Consider the following 13,043-nt stretch of genomic DNA (forward strand, 5'->3'; position numbering starts at 1 on the left):
ATCCCTAATTTTTATATGAGCCTATTTGTTTTTCCAGAACCCCCTTCTGCCAAAGTATCCTCCATCAGGTTTTGTTGATTGCACACACAAAAAAAGGAAGCAGTGTCTTGCTGGCCTGAAAAATGTTAACAGAGGTTCCAGATAGGCTCAATTTGTTTCCAGAAAATACTTCAGATGCTAAAAGACCAGATTTTAGCATGTTTTCAGTTACTTGGGAAGAAACTACTCCATAAATTAAAATCATTACTTTTGTCACTGATGCTATTGTTGGTGTCCTTACAGCAAAGCTAAAAGTATGTAAAATAGTAAACTATATTCAAGGGAAAACTTGAATTCAAATTAGGGACATCAGAGAGGAAACTTTCTTAGAAGAAGACTACCAATTAGAAGCATTTTCCTTTTCCTCCCTTCCCCATCTCCAACCAATGCAAGTCATAGTGAAGCCATTCATCCAAATAGACAAATCAGAGCATGTATTTACCTTGAATGCTTTTGGACCTATGCCTGAAGAAGTGATATTATTTTTACTCAGATCAAGCCTTTCCAAATTTGGTAATCCATTAAATGCTTCATCTGGGATGGAGGCGATGGAATTGCCTAGGACACACAGCGGTTATGTTTTAGGCATGTGTGCATATACATACATGTACACACATGTATGGGCATGTGTGCATAGATATCAAGAGAGAGCTTTGTCTGGAGGAGAAAGCAATACTCAGAACAAGGACAGAATATATATTATATAACCAAAGCATGTTCAGAAAAGTAACAAGCTGGAAATAGATGGTTTAACATAGTTGACATTTTCTCTCTAAGGATTCATCAAGCTGTAAATATATCATGGTTTAGATGAAGGTGCTTAACACAGCCAGAATGTGGTCTGCTGGAGAGTACTGGTAACATTGTACATTTACAACAAAGGTGTGGAAGGTTACACAGAAACTGATTTTTATTCTTCATATTTTCCCATAGCCATTTTCCTGGACTAGAAACATGCCTCTGTTTTTGTCCATGAATGCTCATGCCAATCACTCACCTCCTCTGAGCCTGTCTCCATCTCTGCATAAGAAGCTTGGGGAGATCATCTCCCAGACTCTCTCAGATCTAATGTTATGCCTCTACGGCTTCAATCTACAAAGGTTCCTGTATGCTTTAATTTTATAGGTTTTTGTTTTAACATTTAGTTAAGTTCAGTAGTCAATTTTTAAACCCGGAAAGTGAGCATACCAGTAGTACATACCATAAAAGCCACGTGGTGACCTTCTTATAAAACCATAACAGTGTAGCTCAGCATGGGTCATTTATCTTTTCCAAGGCTTTAGACTTTCACAAATGGGGTTTTCTTAGGGCAGAGCATACCTGGTGTATAGGCCACAGGAGGAAGGGACTTTCCTGAGCATGAGAGGAGTTCCTTAGGTGATCATATGAAAGTAGGATGAAATCCTTTGTCAGAGAGGCCATGGAAGCTTCTATTATGTTTGACACTGGCAGTGTGCTGTCACAGATGGCCATCTCTGCACAAATGTGTTGACCTTTTCAGCTTCCCTCACCCCAGCATCTCCAGGGACACCCGTGGCATGGGGGCCTCATTACCCAGACGAATGCTCCTGCTGCTCCCAGCACCCAAAGTGTCCCCACCAGCCAGCCTCTCACACCTGGTCCTGCTGTTGTTCCACTCAGAGCCCTCCCTGGTGGTCCTATGGAAACATGGGCAGAAGGTCTAGATGACCACATTCCCTCTAGAATGTCAAAAAGGAAGGGAGAAAACAACTGACAGTACCAAGTGCGGGCAGGCTGCAGAGAGGCAGGAGCTCCCCAGCATGCAGGTGGGAAAGGAACAGCCACTTTAGAGAACTGTGGGGCATTTTCTTATAAACTTAAACATGTATTTACCATATCCGCAGTCCCACTCCTGGGCATTGCCCTAGAGAAATGAACACTTAGGTCCACACAAACATCTGTACGTGGATATTTATAGCAACTTTATACATAATCACCCCAAACTGGAAACAACTCAGATGACGTTTAACTGATAGGAAACCCTGCCCCATCCACATGATGGAACACTACTTGGCAGAAGAGAGGAATGAACTACTGATACACAAAACAAAATGGGTGGCTTTCAAAAACATTAGAAGCCAGTCTGAAAGGGCTATGTATTGTATGATTCCACTTATGTGACACTCTGGAAAAGGCAAAACTGTAGAGACAGAAAACAGATCAGTGTTCTGTGGTGGCCAGTGACTGGTGGAGGGGGAAACAAGGAATTTTGGGGAGTGATAGAATGTCCTATATCTTAATTTTGGTGGTGGTTACATGACTATGTGCATTTGTCAAAACTCAGAACTATATACTAAAAATAAGTTTTACTACATATAAATTATACCTCATTAAAGCTGATTTTTAAGAAACATCAGTAGGAAATCATCATTTGATTTGGAGGAGTTTGCTTTATACCTAACTGCTATTCTGCAGTAAACAGCTATCTCTTCTGCAAAGTTTATATATTTGAAGATTATGAAATTAGTCTATTCAGGATCAATTTTTAGGATGAAATTAAAATACAGTCTTCACAGAGCAATGAGAATCGTTCACTTTTTTTTTTTTTTTTTTTAAGAGACAGGATCTCGCTCTGTTGCCTAGACTAGTCTGAAACTACTGGGCTGAAGCCATTCCCCCACCTCAGCCTCCTGAGTAGCTGGGACTACAAGTGTATACAACTGCATGTGGCTTAGAGTCATTTACTTTTTTTTTTTTTTTTTTGAGATGGAGTCTCGCTCAAGTGCCCAGGCTAGAGAACAGTGGCTCAATCTCAGCTCACTGCAACCTCCGCCTCCTGGATTCAAACGATTCTCCTGCCTCGGCCTTCTGAGTAGCTGGGATTACAGGCATGCCCCACCACGCCCGGCTAATTTTTGTATTTTTGGTAGAGATGGGGTTTCACCATATTGTCCAGGCTGGTCTCAAACCCCTGACCTCAGGTGATCTGGCCACCTCAGCCTTTCAAAGTGCTGAGATTATAGGCGTGAGCCACCGTGCCCAGCTGCTAAGAGTCATTTACTTTTAAAGCACAAAATAAAGCAGAAGTCAACATCTCTTACCAGTGAGCTCCAGACTTGTTATCTGTGGTGCTGTCAGCGGTGGTATCTGGGTAAGCATGGCGTTGATGCAGCTGATGGTCCTGTAGGACAGAGAGCACCCGCTTGGCAGGCGCAGTGTGCCTCTGGGAGGAGCAGGAAGCGGGGATCGAGAGGGCATTCGGAACATATCTCCTCTTACCGGGTCCTCCTCGTCCTCCTCATCCTCCTCACCCTCCTCACCCTCCTCCTCCTCATCCTCCTCCTCCTCCCTTCCTTGGCGTTGTTGCTGGTGTGCCAGCCTCCTCTCCTCTCCAGGCCTCTGCTTTCTGTCTCCTCCTCTGCTGTCCCCCTCACTGTAAAGTTGCCCCTGATTTCTAGATTCAGGGGTCTCTCTCTTTTGCTCTGTATCTTCTTCTTTCACTTCTTCATCCTCCTCAGATTGAAGTGCTTCTTTTCTTACTATTCGGTCCATTCCCACCTGAGGAGGTGGCAGTTGCTTATGAAGTAAATTGGTAGGTTCTCTTTGTTCTGAAGAATCACCAGAAAATTCATTTCTATCATTTAATGCTATACCACTGAGTAGAGAATAGGAGACTAATGACCACGCAAGGATGAGGTAGCAGAGATAAGTTGATGATATTAATAAAAGAAAAAACCATAATGAAAATGAGGTTAGTAAATATTATTCCCTCCAAGTATTTGAGTGCAATTTAAAGATGAAATGCACCTTGAAATTCTTGCTTAAAAAGTTTTAATAGTCACTTTATTTCTATTTTGTAATATCTGTTACATTTTATTCACCTGTGGGCCTTAATACTAATTTTTATATTAAATAACTTAATGCTTATTTTTGCTAACATATCATGATACCTGGTGACTAAGGAGGGAATAATATTGCCACATGAGGCAAAATGGTAAGCAATCCTGTTGTGAGATTGTGTTATAATCAGTTGTGATACCTTTATAATAGATACTGTTCTGTTCACTGGGGCTATTGCTAATGTGAGAATTTGCAGACTGTTTACCAGACATTAGAAAAGTGAAACAGGTGTATATTTTACTTGCTTATAGCAGTGAAACCAACTTTTGCTTATAGATTTGTCATTATTTTTGTCCATGGCATCATAACATCATCCTCTGAAATTCAGAATTATAGAGAGAGAGTTTTCCTCCTTCTCTGTCCCAGACTCTATACTTAAATCATCTTTACTACCTGAGACTTACAAATGACATTCTGGACTTAAGTGATGTTGCTTTAACTTAGACATATGCCCAGGAGTGCTGTTTATCCTTCCATGATGGTGGGAGTAGAATAGATGATAGTAGACAGTTAATCTACATTTATATTTAGCTGTTAAGTCTTTGGCAGAAAGTGGGGAAGACATGACAAAGACTAGATTCAAATTCACTCTCTGGGTAAACAGTTCTAGGAAGAACTGATTTCACAGTGCATACTTTTTTTTCCCCCCCCCGAGACGGAGTCTTGCTCTGTCGCCCAGGCTGGAATGCAGTGGCATGATCTCGGCTCACTGCACCCTCCGCCTCCCGGGTTCAAGCGATTCTCCTGCCTCAGCCTCCCAAGTAGCTGGGATTACAGGCACCCCACCACCATGCCAGGCTAATTTTTGTATTTTTAGTAGAGATGGGGTTTCACCATGTTGACCAGGCTGGTCTCGAACACCTGACCTTGTGATCCTCCCGCCTCAGCCTCCCAAAGTGCTGGGATTACAGGTGTGAGCTACCGTGCCCAGCCAGAGTGCATACGTTTTCTTCCATCAAGATTTAAAAATTTACTTAATCATCTGCCTACTTTTATTTAACACTATATATAAACTACTCCCAAAAAGAACTCAGGAAATATAATTATTTGGAGAAATTACTTGAGATATCAATTCAGTATGTATTATAAAGTCTGTGAATTATTTTTTCACATCTCTAGCAAAACATGCAGAAGAATAGGAAAAAGTTAGTAAAAGGAAACTAAAGCTATCATATTGAAACATTTAAAATCCTTCCTGTATATCCAAGTTTATTTTTCCAAAATAACTACATTTCAAGAATACTCCAAGTCTTCTGAAAAAATTTCTGAGAATTTGTGACTCTTACTTTGTAAACCTTGTATTTATTTCACTCCAAGGAATCCATTTCATTGAACACTTTTTTCCTAACTCTTTTTAAATATTAGTGAAATATTTGGTAGTATAACGCAAAACACAATTTCTAAATAGTCAAAAGTTTTTCCTGGCAAGGAGACTTTTGTAGACACCTACCCTGTGATCATCTGTGTGCATGGGAGCAATCTACCTTGGTTATAGACAAGAGAAGATGTCCCTATCCCTTCCCAGCCAATTATTTAACAAGTATTTATTTGCTTATTTTCATAAGGTGTTGGTTAGGCTTTTCTCAGAGGAGACTGGGCCTCCCTCCCAAGGGTCCTTCATTCAGTCAGGTATGAGCCTCATTGGAGAAGGGGTCCATGAGCAGCCAACAAAACCCGCGCTGTGATCTCCTGCACACAGAAGTGCCACATGAGAAAATCATGCTTCAGGCTACACTTTTTCTGCATTTTCCTGGGATTATCCAAGCAGTGATGTGGGTTCCTGTGCTGCCTTTGAGTGGTTGGGTATAGCCAGAGGGTTGGGGCTTTGTTCTCTTTAGATGCAAATCACTCTTCCTTTGTTTACCCTGGCTTCAAGATGATAAAGGCACGTTGCACTGGATTAAGTGGGATAATGCACATATAGACCAAAGCAGAGCCCTTAATGCAATAAGAATTCAGGATCTGTTGTAGAAATTCTGTTACCATATCTCTAAAGCTGAGAGTCAAATGTGGAATGTAATCTCATCCAAGTTTACTGAATCTGATAGAGCTAGAACTATAAAGCCACAGTCTATTATTTATATCCCCTACCATACATTTTCCCAGATATTTTCTATGTTAATCAGCATTTTGCCAATATTTTAAGTACTCAGATCTGACTAATGTATCATAATTTTAATCTAAAATTAGTAACAAAAACAAATGGAAGTTAAAGATTAATCACACACTGATATTTTGCTTAGCTAAATCTCTGTACCAGTAGCGGAGCAGACCGGGCAGCATTCCCCTTCAGGTATAACTGTTTGGGGGCACCTCTGGGGATGGCACATGGTTTCATCACAAAGAACTCTTCCATCTGAGCAGAGGCAGGTAGTGCAGGGCTCAGGCGACCACACAGCTTTGTTGTACATGGTTATGCCCTTTACCAAACAGTGTCCCTTCTTTCCTAGAAGAAAACAAAAGCACAAATTTAAATTTCTTATGTGATTATCAGTAACTGTGAATGGAAGTAAACACAATGTGAAGTCAAACTGCTCTAACCACACAAGAATAGAATTCTATGTGCATTCATGTATAGGGTAAAGATGTCGTATAGACATAAGAAATGCTGAAATGCTTTTCACAGGCTCTCCTCTCAGCCCTTTCACGTAGGCTCTAAGAGTGAACTCCTCATGGTAACTTGGGGCTGAACTGCGCTTCCATTTTGTATCCATCAGGATAGATTAAATTATACAACATCAACAAACAATCCCCAAATCTCAGTTATTTTTCATTTATACTTTGTGTCTAATGTGGGGACACAGGGGCTCAGCTCATCATATTCACTCAGGATTCATCTATAAGCAGGCTGTCCTGATCACTGCGGTAGTGGAAATGTGAGGTTACAAATCACACATGAGCTCTTAAAGTGTCTAATTATACTGACCAAAGCAAATCGTATGGCCACACCAGACTTCCCAAGCCGCCAGCCAATCCAGTTCCCTCATGTGACCAGAGAGCTGAGCTAGCACTAATGATGAGCTCACAGCCCACCCTTGATATGCACATGGGAATAGGTGAAACCAGACAGCATGCTTCCGTGGTGCTTCTCAATGAGACACTGAGCTATGTCTTTTATGGTTTATTATGCTATTGAAATATGATTCACATACTATAATATTCACCCTTTTGAAGTGTATAATACTGTCTGGGCACGGTGGCTCATGCCTGTAATCCCAGCACTTTGGGAGTCTGAGGTCACTTGAGACCAAGAGTTTGAGACCAGCCTGGGCAACATGGTGAAACCCCATCTCCTCTAAAAATACAAAAATTAGCCGAGTATGGTGGCACATGCCTGAAGTCCCAGCTACTCAGAAAGCTGAGGCATAAGAATCGCTTGAACCCAGGAGGTGGAGGTTGCAGTGAGCCAAGATCGTTCCACTGTACTCCAGTCTGGATGACAGAGCAAGACTGTCCCTAAATAAATAAATAAACAAATAAAGTTCATGATGCAGTGCATATATTCATTTCCCTACATACAAGATTGTAGATATGTGGATAAGTGTATCAGCTAAGCAGGCCATTAGAAAGCTGAGGAGAATATTAGAGGGGATGTTTTTCTTCCAACCCTGGTGTCATTCCAGATAACTTTCCTCCATCTGAGCCACTGTCCCCAAGTTCCACCCCCAAATGAGCCTCTCACATTAGTCCCCTCCTTTCCCCGACCACTAACTCAGCCCAATTCAGGCCCTACCCATCTCTCATTCGAATACTTGCAATAGGCTAATCCCACCTACCCAATTCCTCCTCTGAACAAAAATACACATATGAGTTTCTTCCAGGTTATCAAAAGCACTACACTCTATCAAAATTTCCATGGCCTTTTTTTGCAGAAATGGAAAAGCTGATCCTTAAATTCAAATGGAAAAGTTGATCCCACATAACCAAAGCAATCTTGAGAAAAAAGAACAAAGTTGGAGATCTCACACTTTCAGATTTCAAAAAGCTCACTATAAAGATATGATAATCAGCTTTTGTCAGTGTGATACTAGTATAAGCATAGACGTATAGGCCAATGGAACACTGAAAGTCAGACATACATTTATGAACAATTGATTTTCAAGAAGGGTGTCAAGACCATTCAGTGGAGGAAAGAACAATCTTCAACAACTAGTGCTGGGACAACACCAGCAAGAGAATGAAGCTGAATCCCTACCTTTCACCAAATACAAACATTAGCTCAAAATGGATCAAAGACCTAATATATCTTATATTTAGACCTTTGCTGTAAATATAAGAGCTAAGACTACAACACTCTTAGAAAAATCCATAGGGGAAAATCTTTATGACCTCATATTTGGCAGTGGATTCTTAGATGTGACACCTAAAGTAAAAGATAAATTAGACTTTATCAAAATTAAAAATTTGTTGCATCAAAGGACATTGTTAAGAAAGTGAAAGGATGGTGTACACAATGGGAGAGAATATGTGAAATCATATATCTGATAAGGTCCTGATATCCAGAATATTCATAAAGAACTCTTACAACTCAACTACAGAAAGGCAATGCAATAAAAAAATGGGCAAAACTTGCCCAATACAGTGGCTCTCGCTTGTAATTCCAGCACTTTGGGAGGCCAAGGAGGGAAGATTTCTTGAGGCCAGGAATTTGAGAACGGCTTGGACAACATAATGGGATGCTGTCTCTACAGAAAAAGTTAAAAAGTTAGCCAGGTGTGGTGGTGCATTCTTGTAGTCCCAGCTACTTGGGAGGCTGAGGCAGAGGATCACTGAAGCCCAGGAGTTCAAGACTGCAGTGAGCTATGATTGTACCACCGTATTCCAGCCTGGACAGCAGAGCAAGACCCCATCTCTTAAAAAAAGAAAGAAATAGGCATAGGGGTTGAATAGATATTTCTCCAAGGAAGATATGCAGATAGACAACATGCACATAAAAAGATGCTTAACATCATTAGTTGTTAGGGAAATGCAAATCAAAAGCACAATGAGATACCACTTCATACAAGAACAGCTATAATTAAAAATAAATAACAATTGTTGGCAGGAATGTAGAGAAACTGGAGTCCTCTTCCATTGCTGGTGGGCATATAACAGCATAGCCACTTTGGAAAACATTTGGCAGTTCATCAATAAATTAAATATAGAATTACCAAATGGCCCAACAGTTCCCCTCCTAAGTATATACCCAAAAGAATTGAAAATAGGTGTTGAAAGAAAACTTATATTAATGTTCATAGCTGTGTTATTCATGATAGCCAAAAGGTGGAAACAGCCCAGATGTTCATCAACTGGTAGACAATATGGATAAACAAATATGGTATAGCCATACAATGGAATATTATTCAGCCATAAAAAGGAATGAAGTTCTGATACAGGCTAATAATAGATGAACTTTAAAAACATTATACTAAGTAAAGAAGTCAAATACACAAGGCCACATATTATGTGATTCCATTTACATGAAATTTCCAGAATAGGCAAATTCATAGAGACAGAACAGATTAGTGGTTGCCAAGGGCTGGGAGTGGGGAGAAATGGGGAGTTTAGGTACAGAGTTTCCTTTTGGTGGGACGAAAATGTGCAGAAACAAGATAGTGGTGATGGTTGCACAATACTGTGAATGTACTAAATGCTATTGAATTGTACACTTTAAAATGGATGAAATGGTAAATTTTGTGTTATGTGTGGTGATACAATCAAAAAGTACTGTAAGATCACTGGAAAATATTTTCGGACAACTTGGAAATACTTAGTATATATCTTCTGTACTTTTATGCATACCACCCTTTAGTACATATAAAAACTTTTTTTTAAACAAGTTTGAGATCACATTATGAATACTTCTTTTTCAGCCTTTTTGTTTTCCATTATTATAGCTTAGCCATCTTTCCACTTAACTAAAAAAATTGACCTCATCTTTCTTTAGCAGTTATGAGTACATTATTATTACAATGTTTTTAAGTTGATTTCTCTTCCTTTCTTTTCCCAATCATGTTGTAAGTGTGGCCTAAATTGCCTATTTTCAGGATAATTGTATATTATTTCTGTTAAATACATGGAAATAATTAACGAAGAAGCATTTAGCTGTATTGAGACAATATATGAAATACTGGCCACAGAACATTATATGGTGATATTTTCTGTTATTCTTTTGAAAGTTTTATTTAGTGGTAACATGTCTATAATATACTTTTTCCTTCCAAATTTGGAAAAATGTAAACCATTTAATACGTTTTTAAAAATGCCTAATTGAAATCTTTAGCAGAATTTTTAGTCTTTTAAATCTTTAAAAAGTCAGTGGTTTAACCTATATAAAATCAATTCAGTGGCTTTAATTCTATTTGTGGTTGAAAATTTTTGGTTGAAAATATGTAATAGCCATATGTTCACAGAATCATCTGAATAATTTATTTCTGTATTCTAGATGATCTATTGTTATAAATGGAAAGGTAGTTTATAAATGTTTATGTATATTATCTATGTTAGGATTACAACTATTTAAAATATATGCATAGTAAACATACTGGAAAGAAACCAAAATGATAACTATGATTTTGTAAATATAGTGGTAGGATAAGTAATTTTTGTCTAATAATTATAAATGTGTTCCTTAAGTTGTTTTTGGTTTTTTGGGGGTTGTTTTGTTTTGTTTTGTTTTGTTTTGTTTTTAATCTCGAGACGGAGTCTTGCTCTGTCGCCCAGGCTGGAGTGCAGTGGTGTGATCTCTGCTCACTGCAACCTCCACCTCCCAGGTTCAAGTGATTCTCCTGCCTCAGCCTCCCGAGTAGCTGGGATTACAGGTACATGCCACCACACCCGGCTAATTTTTTGTATTTTTAGTAGAGACGGGGTTTCAACATGTTGGCCAGGCTGGTCTTAAACTCCTGACCTCGTGATCTGCCCACCTCTGCCTCCCAAAGTGCTGGGATTACAGGTGTGAGCCACCGCGCCTGGCCCTATTTTTTAAATTATTTTAAAATGTATGTTTGTAGATTAAACCAAAAAGTAATATAATAACCTGGATTTTTCTTTAGAAAATTATCTTCATGGAGATGTTCTCCCTCTCTCCCTCTCTCCTTCTCTTTCCCCATACCATCTCTCACCCTCCTCCCTCTTTCTGTCTCTCTCTCATAGTGTTCTCTTACCTGGTAACACATTATAACTTGATTCTACTCCAGGAAAACTTGAAAAGGATTCAAACTTTTCCTCCATGCTATAATCAAAGTTAACAATAGGAAGTCTTGCTACTGGTGTAAAAACTGTTGTTTGCTGAATTCCAAGCTGTCTGTTTGATCTGTGCTTGTGTGAGGTTGAACTTTTCCTCAACCTTCTGTGGTAGATCTTCCTCCTTTGCTTCCTAGGAATTTCTTCATTTTTTCCAAAGTCAGTTTGAAAAATGATAAGCAGAAAAAAACAAAACAAAACTGCAATCTTCATGTTTGATTTTTTTCCACCAGCCAATTTCTAGAATGAAACAATATTTCAAAGTTAGTGGTGACTAAATTTTTACTTCTGAAAATTGGCTTATATATTTGCTTGTATGCCTCAGTAGGCAAGTCTTTGAGAAATTACACTTATGATATATGGACTATATGCTATAGTATTATTGCCAAATCATAATTTGGAATTCTTCTATCAGAATCAAAAAACTTTTTTTTTTTTTTAAATAGAGATGGGGTCTTGCTCCATCGCCCAGGCTGGAGTGCAGTGGTTCAGTCATGACTCACTGCAGCCTTGAACTCCTGGGCTCAAGCAGTCCTCCTGCATTGGCCTCCCAAAGTGCTGGGATTACAGCATGAGTCACCATGCCTGTTCAGAACTTTTTTGTATCTTACCTTTATCTTTAGACCAGGAATTAGAAACCTTTTTCTATAAAGGGCCAGATAGTAAATATTTGAGGCGTCATAGGCTACACCTTCTCTGTCATACCTATTCAGCTCTGTCATTGTAGCATGAAAGCAGCCATAGACAATATGTTGGGGACCAGCCTCAACACCACCCATAGGGTACCCAAAGCCCTGTGGCAACAAAGGAAGAGAAGAGACAGGTTAAGAGTTCATAAAGATGGGAGCCAGGGGGCCAGTTGCACAATGGAGGCTGCAAAAGGCCCAGAGTTCTGGTCTCCACACGATTTATTGAGTACAATCACTTAGATCTAAGAAGCAGATGTTTAGGGCGAAACAGTGAAAGGGAGGCAGCATGTCATAGGCGTAATCTATAGCAGTAGCGGTTTAAATGAATCTCCTTTGTGCTTAAACAGCATATCTTTAACTTATTGGAGAGTAGCTAGTAGGAGCGGGCTTAACTAGGAGCCTGTACGTCTGTCCACATTTCAGTGTTTCAGAGGAGTGTCTTTCTCCTTGAGCACAGTGTTTATAGATAAGAGAGCAGGTTGCACTCAGAGCATGGGAACATAACGGCGATAAGAAGGCTTTCCTCCTCAGAGACCTCTTGTGGCTTTCCACAACTTATTGTCCCATATTTTTATGGCCAGTTTATGCAGGCACTCCATAAGCCTTTTCCCCAACAACAATTTGTAAACAAATGAGCATGGATGTGTTCCAGGGAAACTCATTACCAGTAAAGGTGGTGGATCAGACATGGCCCCCTCTCTGGGCCCTACTGTTCTGCAGGTTTTCAAAGATTACTTGGGAGATTTCTCTCCACCTGTTTGCTAAGACGTTCTGTGACTGATGTAATCCACAACCCATTTTCCCAGCCGTTTTCTGTTTTGTGCTTTTATTCTCTAGCTTTATAATTGTCTGGGGGGAAGGGCGTGATGGTGCCATATAAAAATAACAGTCAATAGCATCAGTTATAAGGAGGTAAGAGTCAGGAAGAGTAACTCTTTAATTAGCTGGTCTCAGGGTTAGTATAGGGCCTTGCACATGGTAAAGCTGAAAAACATTTAAGAAATGAATATTTAGGCACTCTTGGTACAGTAGTAGCATTATGGTCAGACAGACTGGCGCAATCCCTGTGAAGTCTGGTGGCCAGGGACAAGAGAAACCTCCATCAAGGTGTTGCAGCAGCTGTCATCAAAGGATTCACTCAGCCAATCTCTCTTGGCCTAAAGTTAGTCCTACAAAGGAAGGTTGGCAGTTTTGACTGCCTCTCAGAATTCTACAGCTGAGAAACACACA

General features: G+C 39.8%; 2 protein-coding genes across 11 annotated transcripts in view; one reads left to right on the forward strand and one right to left on the reverse strand.

The window, feature by feature from the left end:
* The window catches only part of CENPP (centromere protein P), a 295,062-nt gene that overhangs the window by 186,062 nt on the left and 95,957 nt on the right, over nt 1–13,043 (forward strand). The window lies entirely within an intron of this gene.
* The window catches only part of ECM2 (extracellular matrix protein 2), a 65,560-nt gene that overhangs the window by 17,983 nt on the left and 34,534 nt on the right, over nt 1–13,043 (reverse strand). For 5 of the 8 annotated variants that reach the window (XM_047422899.1, XM_024447436.2, XM_024447435.2 and 2 more), the window contains 4 exons: nt 11,046–11,364; nt 6,158–6,346; nt 3,102–3,674; nt 482–597 (listed from right to left, as the gene is read on the reverse strand). In XM_047422899.1, coding sequence (XP_047278855.1) covers nt 482–597; nt 3,102–3,674; nt 6,158–6,346; nt 11,046–11,337 — 1,170 coding nt within the window. In that variant the 5' untranslated portion in view covers nt 11,338–11,364. The remainder of the gene's footprint in view (nt 1–481; nt 598–3,101; nt 3,675–6,157; nt 6,347–11,045; nt 11,365–13,043) is intronic. The other 3 variants (NM_001197296.2, NM_001197295.2, XR_007061259.1) reach the window with 2 other exon arrangements.

The sequence above is a fragment of the Homo sapiens genome, chromosome 9, assembly GCF_000001405.40.
Source record: "Homo sapiens chromosome 9, GRCh38.p14 Primary Assembly".
Lineage (NCBI taxonomy): Eukaryota > Metazoa > Chordata > Mammalia > Primates > Hominidae > Homo > Homo sapiens.